This window comes from Homo sapiens, chromosome 16 (assembly GCF_000001405.40).
Source record: "Homo sapiens chromosome 16, GRCh38.p14 Primary Assembly".
NCBI classification, from domain to species: domain Eukaryota; kingdom Metazoa; phylum Chordata; class Mammalia; order Primates; family Hominidae; genus Homo; species Homo sapiens.
This window is the reverse complement of record NC_000016.10, coordinates 56,817,748-56,837,385: the sequence shown is the minus strand read 5'-3', so window position 1 is coordinate 56,837,385 and position 19,638 is coordinate 56,817,748. Positions and strand designations below refer to the sequence as shown.

Genomic DNA, 19,638 nt, shown 5'->3' with positions numbered 1-19,638 from the left:
TTGCCATGTTGGCCAGGCTAGTCTCGAACTCCTGGCCTCAAGTGATGCGCCTGCCTTGGCCTCCCAAAGTGCTGGGATTACAGGCGTGAGCCCCTGCACTTGGCCTATAGCTGTTTTTTTGTCTACTTTTCTCAGTTGATAAAGGAGAGAATGTAATCTTGTTTAGGTCATAGAATCCTTAGCAGTTATCATATGTTCTTAGTCATCATTTGTTCTTCGGTAGAAACATGTATTCTAGTCCTCTCAAAACGCCCAGCTAAGGTCTTATTTTCTTTCACTCCTTCCTGCACACTGATGTGGTCTTATTTTCTAACACCACTGTTCCCCAGTGTGTCTGTGGTTGCCAGGGTCAGCATAATGTAATTTTCAACAGTGGCTTCACCATCGAAATGTGATGGATGCTAATTCTGCTGCCAAGTGAGACAACAGTTCAATGCCTGCAGGACATCCTTTCAATATGTTGTTTGGTCAGAAAAATCTTATGGGCAGAAATAATGCTGTAAAATGGGAATTCTGTCCTGACTGGACCATTAACTGTCTAAGCACTAGAGCAAATGCCTCTGCAGGGAGGGTGCTACAACAATGACACTGTCCAAGTGGCTGCACATTTAATGCCAAAAGGCCAGCAGACCTGTGAAGTGCAAAAGAAGGAAGTGGGCACACTTTACCTTGGCAAGGTCATACAGCTTTGCTGCCTCTTCAAACAGTCCTTTATTTTCTGCCACAGAAGCAACTTTGTTGATAATAGGCTTTGTGTCACTAGTAAACTTATCTATGACTCCAGGCTGACAAGACAAATTATGGAGGGGGAGGAAGAGAGAGACGGGTGCACAGAGCTATTATTTTAAACACAGAGAAGCAATTAGGATCCAAAAAATACTTCAAGTGGAATTGCTTGCCCTGGGCAACGCATATATTTCATCAGCCAGACTCTGGCTTTCTTAAAGATATAAAGTCCTATTAAAACTATAAAAGAGACCAAGGAAACTACACATGAAAGGGCAGACTTACTAGAAGCACAGAGGAGTCAGCAATAAGACATCTGTGCTTTCTAATTTTCCAAAATGACCCAGAGAGTCAGTGAAATCAATGATTTTAAATTTGCTGATAAGTAGGAACTAGAGAGAAAAATCAGGAGGCTTAGAAAAAATATCTGAAAAATTTTGGATTTGCTTTCTAAGACAGATGGCAAAAGGAACTCAGTGCTGAAAAAACACACAGCAAGTGGTAACAGGACATTTCTTTTTTTTTTTTTTTGAGACAGAGTCTTGCTCTGTCTCCCAGGCTGGAGTGCAGTGGCGCAATCTCGGCTCACTGCAAGCTCTGCCTCCCAGGTTCACACCATTCTCCTGCCTCAGCCTCCCGAGCACCTGGGACTACAGGTACCCACCACCACGCCTGGCTAATTTTTTTGTATTTTTAATAGAGACAGGGTTTCACCGTGTTAGCCAGGATGGTCTCGATCTCCTGACCTCATGATCCACCCGCCTCGGCCTCCCAAAGTGCTGGGATTACAGGCGTGAGCCACCGCGCCCGGCTGGTAACAGGACATTTCTTAAAAAAAAATCACCATCACCACTCAACAGCAACTAAATGGTCAGGAGAGCATGAGAGAGGCCTTAGGCACCCTGGGAGAATGAAGGCAAGTGCATAACATCTCTGCCTGGCCATTCTGCTTCTCCACTAGCGCTGGACTCTCAGGGCTAGACCAGGTCAAGGTGGCTGGACCAGGTTGAGGTGACTTGCCCTGCCACTTGGGAGGTAGCAGAGGATAAGGTCTTATCTATGTTTCTAGCTCTGTCAACTCACATACAGTAGGAGCCTCCTGGCCCCAGTGCAGCCTGTTAAAGAAGAAACTATGCAAAGCACTCAGCACAATGCCTGTTGATTGTCACTGCCCAATAAGCAAGGCCACTGTCATCAGCACTGTCACTTGCCTTTCTTCTGAGGTAGATGGTGTGAGCAGTGTGAGCTCATCTACAGATTGCTGGGTCCAAATCACTCATTTTTACAAACGAGAAAACTCAGCCCCTGAGGGACAAGTGACTTTCCAAGGGCCACAGGGAGATTCAGGGTCATGACTGGTCTCTGACAACAGGATCTCTGACCCTCCTGCCATGACAACCAATGGGCATAGTGAGTCCTGAAATCCCTCAAGCTTCCAGAAGTATTTCCAGGGTCACTGTGGAGTTCAAAGCCCTTGGAAACTGCATTTTGAAGGAGGTCAAGTGCATGTCTAACTTTCCCATCTTGGGAGAATGGGTGCAGTAATCAATTTCTTTTCCTTGCATGTTTTCTGAGCCAAGAATGGCAGAAATGTATAATAGCATTCTCAGCTCAAAAAATGACAGGCATGAACAAATGAATATTCTGAACATAATAAAAAAGCTATGTAATCACAAATTAACATATTTTAAGGAGATATAAGTGTGTGTAAAACCAAGGTCATCATTTGGGCCCATAATTTTCATTCCATTTTTTAAATTAAGCAACTCTGTTCAGATTTGCATCTTTAGTACCTTGAATCTTAAAATCTAAGTGTATTTTTTGATATTTATAAATCCCCAATGGCTAACGAACATTTCTCTAAGGATGCATTTAACTCACCTTTCTACTTCCGTCATTCTCTAGTTTCCCAAGAATCATATCGAACTGTGGAAGGAAAAAAGTTTACTCAAATTATTGGACAAAGATATAAACATATTCCATAAGTCTTCAGAGAAAAAAGAGGGGAATCAAATGGGATGAATGGGATAAGTCTTAGGCAAACTAAAAATCAGTGTGACTGAAATAAATATTTTCATTGTTAGAAACCAAAGAAACTCCAAAAACTCCCTAGGCCTTATCCACCACAACCATATTGAAGTAAACACGCAATACGGAATGAGCATGGGACATGCACACTGAAAACCATGGGGAGGAGAGAAAAGGAAACCCACTCACCTCTCGGCTTTCAATCACAAGCTCACTCACACAGCGCAGAAACATGTTTTCTCCTTGACTATCTTTCTCATCCCTGTAAGGGAAATAAACAACTCAGTTTCCAGTCTGGACATGAGGTCTCTAATAGTCATTCTCAGAATGGCAGAAATTGAAACTAGCTGAAGTAAATGGTCAAAAGCAAATGTTACCTGAGGAAATAGAAGTACTGGAGGGCCTCCCTTGGGTCCGTGGACTCAAACTTCCGGGTGTACAGCATGAGGAGCCGCACGAAGTTCAGCCGCCGCAAGCAAGGAGGGTCACCAGGCTCGTGGCTGACTGCATTGTGGGGGTCAGAATGGGTCACAACCACACTGCCCCTCTGACCCATGCAACCCAGAAACTATGGAAGCTGAATCCACAGACCCAGCAGCATCTACTCCTGCAGCCCAGTCAAAGTTTGCTAATATAAGCTTTGGCCAGTCCCTTTTACCATCCTATCCTCAATTCATCCCCAGGCCCAGAGTGGAGAAAACAGCACTTTGCCATAAATTACTAATATGCTGGTCTTTGAGTGAAAACATAATCCAACTGACGATTATGGCATGTGCTCTGGGATGACTTTGCTGCAACAATAAGGAACCTGCAGCCATTCATCCACATTTACTTCCTCTCTCTCCCCTGACTCTCTCATCCCAGGCAGGTATGCACATGCCTGGCTGGGGTTTCCAATGTCATTAAAGCCAGCCCTAATGGGAATCAGACCCATAACTCTAGGGGCTGCTTCTTCAGCATTTTCCAGGCAATCAGACTGGCCACAAAGCTAGTACTTTGAACATCACTTTATATACTTAACTTTCAAGGGAATACTAATGCTGGGGGGTGGGGGGGAAGCAGGAACCCTTAACACTAATCATCTAAAAAGCTCAACTGTCCACATGCTCTAAAATGACTGGTACCCTTTGCTCAAATCCTTATTGGTTGTGGTTTTGTGGCCACCGTCGCCCCAAGGGGGACGTGCTGTGGTTACATTACTGTCAATCCAATCCCAAATACTCACGGAGCTGAGCACTCTGTCCAGAGGACTTTAAAAGCAGCTTCAGCTCAAACAGCACCAGTGCTACATGGACAGCATGGCAGCGCAGCCGCTCCATGCGGAAAAGAAAGGCAACTGCTGCTTCAAACTGCGCTGTCAGGAACAGGACTTGGAAGTAGAGGAAGGGTTGCTGGTTCACCGTAAAGTGGGACTCGCCTGGGAGAGAGGAGAGGAGAGGAGATAAAACCAACTTAGAAAGAAGGGGCTCACTGGTGGCCCAACCCCCAGGCAGCAGCCCTGTGAGCCCACAGGACTTGCTGGACAGGAAGAAAGCACCAGATTGAGTCTGAATTGATCAAGGGGGCCCTGAATACAGTAAACTGCCATGTGAAATGTGACCTGGCTCCTCCACCTTCTCTAGACCTCATAACATTACTGGAAACTGTGACTGTGCTGTAAAACTCCAACTGCTTGCATTAGGTGGGAGAGAAACAGAGCTAAGGACCTTAAAATGGACCACAGAGAGTGTTTATCTCCTTTACCCTGTTAAGTCACTCAAGGAGAGAAATGAAGATTTCAAAGGAGTTTCAGTTTACTCACAGTCACAGAAATCTGAATGCAACAACTGGTAACCACTATTTGGAATCTTCTTTTCTTCTCAGTTTTTAAAAAATACGGGAAAAAAGAAGAAAGGCTGTTTCTCTCTCCTTTGTGCTCAGATCTAGTGACTGGTACGATCGACTAGGAAGCAACAGCTAAGTCTTCTTTTTCTCTCCCTGAGCATATGTCTACTAGAACAGTTCAAAGAATTAGAGAAAACAGATTATTGTGTATGACCATATAAGTTTTATGTATTTCTTAAGGCCACATGCCCTTTATTTGAATTTGGAATGGTAGTTTTGTTGTGTTTTGCCTTGACAATCTATAGGAGTTTTGGAAGAAAGACAAAAGTTCAGAGATGAAAAATTTTCCCAGAGGAAAACTGAAGTAGTCACCTTAAGTGGACAAGAGAAGGGAAAGGTGGTTATGTCCAGAATCTTACCATAGTCTTCCAACAACTGCTTCTGGAACTGTGAGAGAGTGAGCCTGTCTTGTGGGGAGCTGGTGCCATCGTCGTCAAAACACACTTGGTTCAACTAAATCCCCAAGAGAAACACATGCATTGGTACAAATGACACCCTGAGCCACATGCACAGAGTTGTAGCTGTTCAGCAGCCATGCTCAATGATGTCAGCTAGAAGCTGTGTTTAAGGCTATGGTTATGAGCTGGGAATTACACAACAAAAAATGGGGACAGGAGACGAGGAACCCACTGGTCCTGATCACTGTATTGGCATCATACATTAAGCAGGTAAAATCTTTGCGGGGACTTGAGCACAGAAAAGGGGTAAAGCCCTATGTGGGCAGGGGAAACAGTGCCTACCTTCAGCCACAGGTAATCCTCAGTTTTGTCCGCCACTTCACTCTGGTTGTCGGTGACGTCACATCTGCCAATGATACAGTACACGGCCCGCTTGTAGGGATCTGTATTGTTCCTGAGGGCCCTACGGTAATGCAGCCGGAGCTTGTTTTCCGTAGCTGGGGACAATCTACAGACATAAGGGAACAGACAGATAGATACATACTCAATAAAAATCCTCAAGGGCATCTGAAAGCGTCCCAGGTCCCAAACACATAAAAGCAGGGAAGCCTTCCTTCATCCGGGGTAAGAGACACTGTCTCTGCCCCATCCCCTCCCCTCGGTACCATCGCTTTAACCTGACTTGCAACTACCTGCACCTGTATCTATTGGCCTGCCGGTTTTCTATTTGCTGAGGCCTTCATGGGCAGGTGAGAAATGCCAGGGAATTAGAACTCCATTGCACAACCCAGCAGCACTCAAGCAGTGATGGACAGGAGTGAATCCTTCCCTTAACTGTCTTAGCCCCTCCCTGGCCTCCACACTCCCTTATTCATGTGAGATCACCTCCTAAATAAACAACTTGCACTCAAATCTCCTTCTGGGGGAACCTTAAGACATTAACCCTACTTTAAATTCTAACATGAGCAAGACAGGGGCTTCTGGTTTGAGGCAATCTCTTGATATGACATTAGTAATGCTGCCAAGAAAAGTATCCTAGTTTTTCACAAGTACAGCTACAGTAACCGCCATCATTTCTTCTACATACATGTACATATATATAACCTCAGTTTGAGTATGAGCTTAAGTCCAATTACATTAGCAAAATCCAAGGAAAATTAATGCTTAGCAGTTCCTTAATGCAAGAGAACTTAAAGACTTAATGAATCAATTCAATGATTATATTTCAATTTTACTAACTTCTAATTCTAGCCTTTAAGCTACGAAGTACGTGACAACATATTTTCATATTGGTTGACCAAAAAAGCATTAAGTGTTAACAAGTGTAACTTTTAAAAAGTCCCATTTTATAAAGCATCCTTGATGTGCCTTAGATTTACAGAATAAGTCAAATCATGCTCCTAAACCTGGCCCTCCCTTGTAGGAACAGAAAAATTCCCAAACACAGATGCATGCATGCCTAGACATCAGTGTCAGAATGGGGCATTCTTTTAATGTTTTCACTCCTTATTCCCAAGAGAGTTCTATTTGCTTTCAAAACTTCCTTTTTCCCCCAAGCAGAAACTTGTTTTGGGCCCGTCCAGGGAAAAGAGAATAATGACAGTGAAGGATGCCCCTTTGATTCTGCATGGCTGCCCCTGGGCGTGCCACCTCATTCACCATACCTTCTGTCCTTGCTGTTCATGTACTCCTGGAACCAGGTTTTAAACTCTCCCAGCTGGTGCTGGGCTCGATTAACTACCTGTGAAGCGGCAAGCAGGTCTCCACAGCGCATGCAGTAGTAAATTAGCGCCCACACAGGATGGCCTTCCACCTCTCCATCCTAAAAGAGGAACAGTTAAGTGCTCAAAATAAACAAGGAAAGGCTGACTGCTTTCATATGTGCTAAAACCGAGCTAAGCCCCTCTCCTTTATAATATGTCACTTAATCTTCAGAACAGCTCCCTGCAGTGAGAACCATTAACAGCCTTTTCCTGTTTTACAAACAAGGAAACTGAGGCATGGAGGGGTTAAGTCATCTGTTCAAGTAAGCTGTTAAGTGGCAATATGGCTCCAGAGCTTTTCCTCTGAAGTGCTTTGTACCCAACTTGATCCAAAGCCACCCTGTGGTTTTTCCATGGAATCCCAGGGGCCCATAGTAACTGGGTGATGTTCTTTTGTGATAATATACACACATGCACTCCTACAATCCCACAAAGCAAAGGCTAAAGATGTCACTGACCAGTAAGAGACTATCCTTATAGCACTCAAGTTTATAAAACGTCATAAACATTTTACTCAGTATCTTGGTGTCAGGTACTGCTGGGCACTGGGGATCTGAGAGACAGCTCCGTTCCCACTCTCTGAATACTACAGCTTATTTATCCCAAGTCTGGTTTTGCCATTTGTCTGCACAGCGGCCTGCGCTTACGCTTCTGTCTTTGCTTTTCTTCAACTCCTCCAGAAGTAGACTTCAGGCCTCCTATCTTGGCACTTCCACCCTTCCCTCAACAGGACTCTTTCTAAAACCCAGATCTGAACTTGCCCACTTAAACCCCTTTGAGCTGTTTAAGTCCAAAGTGCTGGGCCTGGCACTTAAGGCCTTCACTAGTGGGCCCCAAGCTTGCCAAGCCCTACTGTGCACCCAGTCCTCCCGATACTCTCTCCTGCCTCCATGCATTTGTGCATGTGTTACCTCCTCCTGGAATACTCTTTTCCAAAACTTCAGGTTGGTGAACTCCTATTCTTTAAGAGCAAGTGCGAATCTCACCTTCTTTATGCAGCTAATCTCCTCTGTATCCTGCCACCCTTTGCATAAGGCTCCAGTTTAGGGCTTTGCATTACTGTATGATAATCTCCCCAACTGGACCACGAGCTGAGAAGAGACCACATCCTAAAAACTACATTCAACTCCATTCTTCCAGCTGTTTTAGCCAAAAATCTCAGAAGTCATCCCTGACTCTGCCTCTCACACTCAAATCCATGTTCTTCAGCAAGTCCTATTGGCTCAGCTTTCAAAACATGTCCAGAACCCAATGACATCTTCTCCATGCACTCTTCTCCACCCGGAGCTGAGTCCACCATCACCTGGACTTCTGTACTATCAGCCTCCTAAGAGGTCTTTACCTTCTGTCCTCACCCCTCTCTGGTCCCATCTCCACACAGTAGTCTCCACAGATACCCTCATTTTAACTGAAAATGCCCATCTGAGGGCAACTGCTCTGGGGGTGTAACTGATCACACAGAGAAAGTTGTCAGTACCTGTAGTCCAGGCAAGGGAGCTGGCAGTTTAATGTTCAGGAAACTTCGAACCAATTGGTAAGTCCCAGGCACCCCGCCCAGCTGGGCCTGATGCAAATTTCCAAAGACAGTCACAAGGGTGTAATTCTTATAACTGGAAAAATTTTAAAGGAAAAAACAGGGAAGACTGAAAACATTTATTACACATCTCTATGCCCATATCCATGACATTACACTGTAGCTTGGAAGGGCAGGGCCTAGACTTCAAGCTCAATGCAGAAGAGGAAATAGTACATGCTTAATGAAGCAAACTACATTATTACTCAGTGGGCTGTGGATCACAGTAGATTTCTCATCACTGAGGAAACTCAAAAGAATCCCTGGAGGAACACAACTGTGGACTTCAAATACATTAAGGGTGGATATACAGAATAATAATTGCTCCAGCTCACAGCCTAATGTTCTGGTTGGTTCTTGTTAAACTTTTTATTTTGAACACTTTCAAACCTACAAAAAATTAAAAGAATAGTTCAATGAATGCACATAACCTTTTACCTAGATTCACCAATTTTTAACATTTCTTTATGTTTTCTCTCTACACATACACATAACATTTTTCTCCCCTCAAACCCCTTGAAAATATGTTATAAAAATCAGGGGCTACTTTATCCATAAATACCATATGGCTCTGAAGAACTAGGACCTTCTCCTGCCTAACCTCAGTATCATTATGATACCAAGAAACTTAACATTAATTTATTATTATCAAAAATATAACCCACATTTCTTAATAGTGTCCTTTACAGTTTTTAAATCCAGAATCTCATCAAGAAAATATAATTGTCAAGCCACTTTCCCTTAATCTAAGATAATTCCATTAATTCTACCACTATTTTTGTCTTTCATGACAATGATCTTTTTTTTTTTTTTTTTTTTAAGAGGCAGGGTCTTGTTGTGGTTCCCAGGCTGGGATGCAGTGCCTATTAACAAGTGCCCTTATTTTTTTTTGAGATGGATTCTCACTCTAGTCGCCCAGGCTGAAGTGCAGTGGCATGATCTTGGCTCACTGCAACCTCTGCCTCCTGGGTTTTCAAGCATTTCTCTTGTCTCAGCCTCCCAAGCAGCTGGGATTACAGGCGTGGGCCACCACGCCCAGCTAATTTTCGTGTTTTTAGTAGAGATGGGGTTTCACCATTTTGGCCAGGCTGGTCTCGAACTCCTGACCTCAAGTGATCCTCCCGCCTTGGCCTCCCAAAGTGCTGGGATTACAGGCATGAGCCACCATGGCTGGCCCACAAGTGCCTTTAAAGCACTCTACTGCCTCGAACTCCTGGGCTCAAGCAATCTTCCCCCCTCAATCTCCTGAGTAGCTGGTGCTAGAGGTACATGCCACCATGCTCAGCTGGACACTAACCTTTTATTTATAGAGTCCAGTCCAGCTGTCTGGTAGAATATCTTGTAAGCTGGATCATTATTTGATTCAGGTTCAATTTTTTTGCCAGTAGCCCTACATAGCTAATGCTGGCACTTCCCACTGAATCCCACAATGAAGTAGGTAGTAGGTTTGCTTCTTTATTGGTAACACTAGATATGATTCACTTGCTTGAAAGATGTCCACCAGATTTCTCCGTTACAATTTATTATTCTCTTTGTACTTAATAAGTAGTCTGTGGGGCAATACATGGAAGTCATGCAAGTATTCTATTCACCAACAATCTTTTACTCAACGGTTTTACTTTCCATTGATGGTCCTTGCCGCACCAGTTATTACACTGGTGGTCGCAAAATGATGATTTTTCTACCATTCCCTCTCCATTTATTTGCTAGCATGCTTCTTAAAATCCTCTGCAGTGGTTTTAAGTGTTTCCATACCAAGATTAAATAGTCCAATTCACAGATACCCAAATATGTGGTTAATGTAATAACTTTCTAAATATAATATGTTCTTGTCAAAAACAAGAGACTACCTCAAAAAGTCAGGTGTTCAACACCAGGTTAAATAAAACAACAGAGAGAGTAAAACAACCTAAATCTTAATAACAGGAAACAGACTCAACAAAATTTTTTTTTTTTTTTTTTTTTTTTTGAGACGGAGTCTCATTCCATCCCCAGGTTGGAGTACAGAGGCGCCACCTCGGCTCACTGCAACCTCTGCCCACCGGGTTCAAGCAATTCTCCTGACTCAGCCTCCTGAGTAGCTGGGACTACAGGTGTGCACCATCATGCCTGGCTAATTTTTGTATTTTTAGTAGAGAAGGGGTTTCACCATGTTGGCCAGGATGGTCTCAATCTCTTGACCTCGTGATCTGCCCGCCTCGGCCTCTCAAAGTGCTGGGATTACAGACGTGAGACGCTGCACCCAGCCGACTCAATGAAATTTTATGCAGTTATGAAAAAAAATACACGTCAAGAACGGGGGGAAAAAAGAAATACAACAAGGTAATAGGAGCCTCTAGATGGTATACGGGTCCTCCCCTCCTTTTTCACGTCTTATTTTTAGCATCTTCCAAAGTTTCTATAATAAGGATGTATCATTTTTATAATGAAAAACAAACAAAATTTAACAAATGTTAATGAGTTCCCCATCATTGGAAGTTGTTTTTTTTTTTTTTTTTTAGACGGAGTCTTGCTTTGTTGCCCAGACTGGAGTGCAGTGGCACGATCTCGGCTCACTGCAACCTCTGCCTCCCAGGTTCAAGTGATTCTCCTGTCTCAGTCTCCCAAGTAGCTGGGACTTGCGCCAGGTGCACACCACCACACCCAGCTAATTTTTGTATTTTTAGTATAACCGGGGTTTCACGATGTTGGCCAGGCTGGTCTTGAACTCCTGACCTCAGGTGATCCACCCACCTTGGCCACCCGAAGTGTTGGGATTACAGGTGTGAGCCACTGCGCCCGGCCTGGAAGTATTTATAAGCAGAGGTTGGATAAGAAATTGAGGAGTTCTGTAGCAGCCAGGACAAACAGATGCCCACTATGGTCTCTTCCAATTTGAATTAAGACAGTTCATGTGCTGACAAGGGCCTAAGCTGAAGAAGTCTAAATTCCTTGAGGGCTAAGAAATATATATCATGCCTCAAATCTTGGAATGTGGCAGGGAAGAGACAGACCAATCCTATATTTTCACAACATTTCAGCCCTGTAATTGAAAAATTATTTGGGCCTGGTCTACTTTGCCATCTGGTGCATTACATCACTTGAACTATTATATGCATACTGTCAGTGAATCAGCAGCAGAGAAAAATATTTTAAAACTCAGTATAATTATTCTAAAATACCCCCTTTATCAAAGGTGACAATGAATGCTCACAAAAGATGCCATGAGAGAGTGATGCCACTAGAGTGAAAAATAAACTTAAGATTACAATTATGAACAGGAAATTCCCAAATAGCTCCAAGAAGCACCATTAAAGAAATTAATGGAACAAGATAATTTTTAAAACTAAACGAAAAGACTAAAAGAAATGGACTGGCTTACCAGCAATTTAAAACCAAGGAAAGCAGCCCAGTACCATTGGTGAAGTCAAGGACCAATGTTAAGGATTAGGGTGATCAAGAAAAAAGTAGTCATGAGCAGTCATACACTTACACTCATTGAAAAAAAATAAAAATTAAAAAAAATCCTAGGCCAGGCACGGTGGCTTACGCCTGTAATCCCAGCACTTTGGGAAGCTGAGCCCAGTGGATCACCTGAGGTCAGGAGTTCAAGACCAGCCTGGCCAACATGGTGAAACTCCATCTCTACTAAAAATACAAAAATTAGCCAGGCATGGTGATAGGCAACCATGCTATTCAGGAGGCTGAGGCAGGAGAATCGCCTGAACCCGGGAGGCAGAGGTTGCACAGAGCCAAGATCACACCATTACATTACAGCCTGGGCAACAAGAGCGAAACTCCATCTCAAAAAAAAAAAAAAAAAAAAAAAGCTGGGTATGGTAGCACACACCTCAGGAGGCTGAGGTGGGAGGACTGCTTGAGCCTGGGAGGCAGACGTTGCAGCGAGCCCAGATTATGCCACTGCACTCCAGCATGGGTGACAGAGCCAGACTGTCTTACAAAAAAAAAAAAATTCCTGGGAAGTTTTTATATAGTATAAGAAATTCTGACTCATTTTGCTGACTGGTAACAAATAAATGCTACTATGTATGTAGGTTCTTTATGGCTGAAGATTGATAAACCCAAAACTTAAACACAAAAATTCAGCTAACGCTTGGATGAATTATTTTATAAACCCTTTATTCCTATACTAGGAGAATAAAAATCCATTTTGAGCTCCAGATTTTTCTTAACCAGGGAATGGAAGCTAGTGAATGTAATGTGTCTGATGGTGTTCATTTCAGTAGCTCTCATGTAATTAATACAGTATTTGGTATAAAAACCTATTCTCTGCTGTACCAAGTTTGAATTACCTCAGTAACATACAAGGAAATCTTCTGACTTCCTAATGAAGTATCGTTTTATTGACAAAAGGCAATCTTACTGCAAGGCTGCTGGCAGGTGCAGAGGCTGAGTGGCAAAGGCCTGCAATTTAGCAAGTGTATTCAACTTGGCTTTCTCTTCTCAGGCCAGCAGGGAGGGGCCCAGCACCCTGTCTCTAAAATAAAGAGATTCTATTGCACACTCATGACAACCCCTGCTGGCCAATTCAGAGTTGGAAGGAGTGTCCACAGGGAGGGATGATGGCATGGGTCCTACTAACGAAGGGAACAATACTTCGGGCACAAAGGCACTGCCACAAACCCCTCAGTGACCAGCTCTGATTGGTGAGGAGGTGGCAAAGAAACCCAGGCATAAATCACAGGCATTATCAGCTCAGAATGACCCTGACTTATGGGAATTAACCAAGTAGAGTCAGAACAAAAATAAGGGGAAACGAGTTTTCCTAGGGTTTGAAGGTAGTAACATGCCTGGGAGTAAAATTAAAATGTGGAGAGAAAAGAGCCTAAGGAGTAATGGCTGAACCACATTAGAAAAAGATTATGACCTAAGGCACTACGGCCTTACGTATTAAGAGAGTGTGGAGAAAGAAAAAGGGAATTCGAACAGTGCTCATTTACCATGATTTTTTGACGTGTGATTTTTATACCACTGCAGAAACAGTCCTGGTAGGGAAGTGAAACAGGATTTCTGAAACAGGATTACAACTCTGAACCTTGTTCAATTTAACATAATAAATCTTAAATTATACCTACAGCACACCTAGCCTGAGGACAACTTAAGATCTGAGAAACAGTTGACTGCAAAGGATGTGAAAGCCAGCCCCACTGTGCTACTGCTGCCTTACCTCTGCTCAAGGTACGCCAAGGCCTGCCTGACAAACTCCATGCGCACTTCCACGCTGCTGCGGTTCTTCAGGGCATCCGTTGCCGGTGTCAACAACACGTCTGTCATTTGTTTTACCATGGTCCACATGTCGGAAATGCTCTGCACATAAATGAAACTGCATGTGACAATGCTGCAGGGCCAGAGAAATTATCTAGTTCTTTGTGGCACTCTGACCTCCAAAGGGGGCAGAATGTGGTGGGGGATGAGGTTAATGTCATCTGTCTGTGACGGCTAGGCTTAAGCTCAGTGCAGAAGATGCGTCTCTGCTGGCCAGACTTCAGAGTTCCATCCACCGATGAGCACCCCTGCCCCTGCCCTGAGTTGGTTTTCAGATCAATTACTATTCCAGGTCTGACATAACCACGTACATAATTAAAACCACATACAAGTCACGAGAACACTGAATCTCAGTGGGTTATCCCTTCAGAGACAAGGAATCCATTTATAATCATCCAAAGTTCTAGAAGTTTAAACTCAAAGAGCTGCATTTCAGTCCTTACAAGGTTATCTGAGTTTCTAAAGGCTTAAAATAAGACTTTAACATAATAATACAGGTTTTTGTCCTCCCAGAGACGCTCCAGGGGCCACCGCTCTTACGTTACTTGGTGAGCGTCACAGCCTCCCATTTTCCTTCCCACTCACTCCCTTCAAAAGACGCCTCCCAGGAAAGGAGCGGGTGTTCTTTCCTCTGTGTTACCACCACACAGCTGGGACTCCCTCTCCCCAGAATCCTTCTGCCTGTAAATGGCTCCTTAAAAACAACGTGTTCCCTGAACCCTTGGCAATACTTTAAATGTATGAGTCCTTGCAGGATAGCACTGATTGGAGAAAAAGCAGGTTTATACTTGTTCCAAAGCAAAAGAGAAAAGCCTGTTTTCATGGTCTGTCTCAAAAATTAAAATTTTAGAATGTCCAGACAAATGTGACTCTTCCTAAGTGGTGGAATGATTGGTGAAACCTGACTTTCTTCTTTAGATCTGTTTACATTGTCTTATATTTTAGTATTTAAAAAAATTAAGCTTGAGACCATCCTGGCCAACATGGTGAAACCCCGTCTCTACCAAAAATACAAAAAAAATTAACCAGGCATGGTGGCAGGTGCCTGTAGTCCCAGCTACTCGGGAGGCCGAGGTAGGAGAATCGCTTGAACCCAGGAGGTGGAGGTTGCAGTGAGCCCAGATCTCATTATTGCACTTCAGCCTGGGCAACAACAGTGAAACTTCAACTCAAAAAAAAAAAAAGAAAAGAAAAGAAAGAAAGAAAAGAAAAAGTTACTTTTTTTTTTTTTTTTGAGACAGGGCCTCACTCTTTGTCACCCAGGCTGGAATACACTGGCATGATCATGGCTCACTGCAGCCTGGGCCCCCCCGGACTCAGGCAATCCTCCCACCTCAGCCTCTCGAGTAGCTGGGACTACAGGTGCATGCCACCACACCTGGTTAATTTTTCTATTTTTTGTAGAGAAGAGGTCTTGCCATGTTGCCCAAGCTGGTCTTGAACTCCTGGGTGCAAGCAATCCACCCACCTCAGCCTCAAAACGTGCTAGGGTTACAGATGTGAGCCACCACAACGGGCTGAGCAATTTTTAAAAAGACAAAAAAAATCTGTGTATGGGTGCTTGCTTCCATAATAGCCTTCCCTCCCTTCTTCCTTCCTCCTAGCCACCCACCAAGTAGTCATCCATCCCCCTTTTTTTTTTTTTTTTTTGCCCCTTATGGGAGAAAACTGGCCAGGAATAAAGGGTGAGGCAGGAGAACAAATAAAGGCAGTATATGTGTGTGTCAGAGGAACAGAACCAGTGGTATATAAAGAATGCTCACAAAGGCCCCACCGAGTCAAGTTCGAGGGCTCACAGGTGTAAAAAGCCATCACCTTAACAATTCTGCTCTCATTAAGGAGCCTACTAGATTGTGTAAGGAGGGAAACTGGTGAGTGGGGAGTAAAAGCCTGATGGGACTTCAAAGCAAATACGGCTTGAAGAGAACTCTTGTGACTATCAATTGATACTGGCAGGGCCTTTTGAAGATGCATTTTTAAAAATTCATCATCAAGAAAACCACCCAAAGTTATTTAAAATAAAACTGAAGAACAGTTAACATTTCATTCCACAGAATGGCGTGTCTCCGCAGCACATTTCAACCAAATCGGCAAGTTGCTAGGCCCATCGGAACACTGGACCCCGGTTTCTACTTGAGTTAGCTCTAGGTGCTACCTTATCATCGAGCTCTGCGACGGAAGCACAAAGGTCCACCAGGTTAGGCTGCAGGTGTCCATTTACAATTTTCTCATTATAGATATAAATCTGAAATGATAAAAAGCAAAGTAAATGGCAAAGTATCTATTTTCTCTTCTTTTTAAACCTCCTGAAGCAGGCAATGGCCGGCAGAAGCTTCGGCCAACCTTTCCTTCCTCGGAGTGGCTGAGCCATCCACACTGGCCAGCTCCCCAGTTGCGTTGGGGTTGTGGGTAACACACCAAAGCTAACTGCCACCCCACCTTCCAAACACCTGAGGAACGGGAGCAGCGGGGTCCAGGGGGAGAAGAACCACAGGCAGGTCTGTGCCTCTGTCCTAGTGAGGAAGCACCCAGGGGAAGACAGGAGAATGGAAGGGCTCTGGCTGCTGCTTCCTAATAACCAAGGCAAAGGACTCAATTCTTTCAAAAGGACTGAATGGCCCTGGTATAGGGTTCATGGATGGAGTGGGGAATGTTGGGCACTGCCTCCCTCCACAAGTGTTAGAATAGCAGGTGTGGCACATGTGGAATATCCATTTCTCCTGGAAAGAATCTCTGTTCTTCAGGTAAAATTTTCTTAAGGAAAATGAACTATGTGATATTTAAGGTATGGGAAAGCCACTCTTACTTTAGATTTTATTTTCAAGGAGCTAAAATGATGATAGTAGAAATCGTAAATTCACTCTTCTAGATTTAGAACTAGTTAAGTCCTGGTAGGGAAGTGAAACAGGACTTCACTAGTTAAGATTTAGAGCTTAACTAGTTCTAAATCTTAACTAGTTAAGCTCTAAATCTTCTTGTGGAAGATTCTACTTTGTATATGAAGTCTTTGCTCTCCCATAGTAGTGATGTTAGACAAATCATGACCCTGTTGAACTGTAGTTTCCTCTACATTAAATGGGGGAACATCAGTATCATTCATCTTCCAGGGCTGTTATGAAGATTAAACGGTTTCGCTGGGTGCAGTGGCTGAAGCCTTTAATCCCAGCACTTTGGGAGGCCAAGGCAGGTGGATCACCTGAGGTCAGAAGTTCAAGACCAGCCTAGCCAACATGGTGAAACCCTGGTCTGTATTAAAAATACAAAAATTAGCCTGGTGTGGTGGTGCATGCCTATAATCCCAGCTACTTGGGAGGCTGAGGCAGGAGAATCACTTGAATCTGGGAGGCAGAGGTGGAGGCTTCAGTGAGCTGAGATCGCACCACTGCACTCCAGCCTGGGTGAAAGAGCAAGACTTCGTCTCAATCAATCATCCAACCAATCAATAAAATGGTTTTAAACCATGACGTAGTACTTATTCACTCAATGAGCATTTCTTACAGGCCTTCCTTTGCAAGGTACTGTTCAACATGGGATATAAAGCTTCACTCTTTAGTGGAGAGGACAGCCGTGTAAACAGACACAATATTACGGTGTTGTATGTGCTATGAAATGTTAGTTTAATGACATCTTTAGTCTTTGCAGGTGTAGAAGACACATAGTCTCTCTTCTCAGAAGCCTGTATTTCATCAGGCTTCTCTCCATGGCAATAGAGGAGTCAGCCATATAATGAAGGTGAAGGGTAAAGAATACAGATGCACAGGGGGAGTAAAAAGAGAGAGGTATAAAATTGGAGCAGGAGGAAATAAATGAAGGCCAGTGGCAAAACATAAAGGGGTTGGAAGGAAGGGATCTCATGTGTGGGAAGGTGATGAAGCTGGGGGTTTCAGCTGCCTGGAGTCTGACGTGGCAATGGCACCCCAAAGAGAGAGACTTTCAAAAAGACATTTAGAAAATTTCTCTCAACAAAGGGTAAAAGAGGGACTTCTGATAATACCATCAGCTAACCAGGTAATTCAATTCATGTGGAATGCCACTGACTAAATAACTGGCAGCTGAAGACAGACCCCTTGGTTAAAGAGCACAGGGTCTAACAGTTTCTCACTGTCCCCTGCTCACCTCCATAGCTGCCCTGTTTTTGTCTCCAACCACCCTACTCCAGGCTGGAGGAGGATGAGGTGGATAATGTTGAGGGCCACAAGTGGGACCCCTGGGTCCCCCCTCAAAGAATCTGGGAGGTGGTAATGGCTGAGCAGATATTCCTGGACCACTGCTGGTGGAGGATAATCTTAAGGGGATGGAGGCCCACTGCCCTCAATTCAAGAAACAGGATATTTTTCCTTCTTTGTACTTTGTGGGAGAAAGCAGCAAATTACAATAAAGCACAAAGTTGGCTGGCACTGCTTTATTTAAAAAGTCAATTCCAGCTATGTATGGTCCTCAGGGTGGTTTCAGTCCAACAGAATTCCTGTGCTTACCACAAAGCATCTCAGTCCATATCCATACTATTGGGCGGTCCTCATCTACAACCAGAAGGATGACCCCTAAAATATTATGAGCTTTTCTAGGACAACAGTGGTATTAAGTAGTGAATACACTATGCTTATTAAGACAAAAAAGCATTTAGAAAATTTCTTTCAACAAAGAGTGAAAAAAGGATTTGTTAATACCAACAGCCTACCAGGTAATTCAGTTAATATGGAACTCCATTTGCTAAGCAGCGCAGTTACCTGAAGCTTTACTGTACATGGGACTATTGCCAAAAATGCATACTGAGATGCCATGGTCAGTGTAAAGGACAGATTTCAATTTCCTCAAATCAAATGTGAGTAATTCTATTACCCTATTTGATAGAATTCTCCAGTGGCCTATGCTAAAATATTAACTAGTTCTCTAAATGAAAAAATACAACTTGCTTTCAGGGTTTGACTTTTACAAGTTTTTGTTTCCTTTTACTCCCTAGAGGTTCACAAAGGATTTTCCTGGCTTAATCCCCCTTAAAATCACACTCACTTGCCGCGCATAGGCCATCTCGATGTTATCCAGAGAGCTTCGACCAGGGGGTCCCACATCACTGATGTAGCTTGGCTGTGGATAAATACACATTCAGAATCAGTTAGGGACAGTATTCAGTCATGTGAAGAAATCAAATCACATCATAAACATATTCTTGTCTTTAACAGAGCTGTGAAAAGTCTGTTTCCTAGTTAAGAATTCCTCAAAGTGATGATTTTAGGGATTTCAATAACATGCAACTTTTACTATGAACACATGAGAAGAGAGCAGGCATGAGATTGGATTAACTAAAAAAGAGTGAGGGGCTGCATAAACCCTATCAATACCTCAATGACTTTTTCTGGAAATGTACATCTTTCCAACATTCTGTTTGAATCTCAAGCCCCCTCTCTACCTCATCCTCCCTTCCCATGTCTTCACACTAGTGAGGCCATTATTTTTATCAGTGGGCCTCTTTTTCATCAATCATATCAGGCAGTTGAGGGAAAGCAGTTTATAGAGTCAAACACCTGATTCAGACATTTCCACACTAGAATCCACACTAAGACAACAGCTGCTGATTACTTTTCTGTTATCTGAAGATGTGAGACCAGGGCAAGTTGGACATTCATTCAGTAAATATTTGCTAAGTGCCTGCCACATACACAGCTGTACATATATCCATCTCCCTAAGAACAAAAACAACCCAGCCTGCGAAGCCTGTCCCCAAAGAGCTTACAATCTGAAGAGGAGAGTGCAATAAAAATACAGTCATATATTACTTAAAAATAGGATAGGTTCTGAGAAATGCATCATTAGGAGATTTCGTCATTGTGTGGACTTCATAAAGTATACTTACACACACTAGACGGTTTAGCCTACTCCACACCTACGTTGTATGCACAGCCTATTGCTCCTAGGCTACATACCTGTACAACATATTACTATACTGGATACTGTAGGCAACTGTAACACAATGGTAAGTATGTATATATTTAAATATAACTAA

The 19,638-nt window shown here is 43.4% G+C and overlaps 1 protein-coding gene across 4 annotated transcripts in view; it reads right to left on the bottom strand.

Moving 5' to 3' along the window:
- The window catches only part of NUP93 (nucleoporin 93), a 120,158-nt gene that overhangs the window by 12,901 nt on the left and 87,619 nt on the right, over positions 1 to 19,638 (bottom strand). For all 4 annotated transcript variants that reach the window (NM_014669.5, XM_005256263.4, NM_001242795.2 and 1 more), the window contains 12 exons: positions 18,648 to 18,722; positions 15,793 to 15,882; positions 13,540 to 13,679; positions 8,277 to 8,409; positions 6,701 to 6,858; positions 5,379 to 5,544; positions 4,998 to 5,091; positions 3,980 to 4,171; positions 3,132 to 3,258; positions 2,944 to 3,016; positions 2,608 to 2,652; positions 669 to 785 (listed from right to left, as the gene is read on the bottom strand). In NM_014669.5, the coding sequence (NP_055484.3) occupies positions 669 to 785; positions 2,608 to 2,652; positions 2,944 to 3,016; positions 3,132 to 3,258; positions 3,980 to 4,171; positions 4,998 to 5,091; positions 5,379 to 5,544; positions 6,701 to 6,858; positions 8,277 to 8,409; positions 13,540 to 13,679; positions 15,793 to 15,882; positions 18,648 to 18,722 (1,410 nt within the window). The remainder of the gene's footprint in view (positions 1 to 668; positions 786 to 2,607; positions 2,653 to 2,943; positions 3,017 to 3,131; positions 3,259 to 3,979; positions 4,172 to 4,997; positions 5,092 to 5,378; positions 5,545 to 6,700; positions 6,859 to 8,276; positions 8,410 to 13,539; positions 13,680 to 15,792; positions 15,883 to 18,647; positions 18,723 to 19,638) is intronic.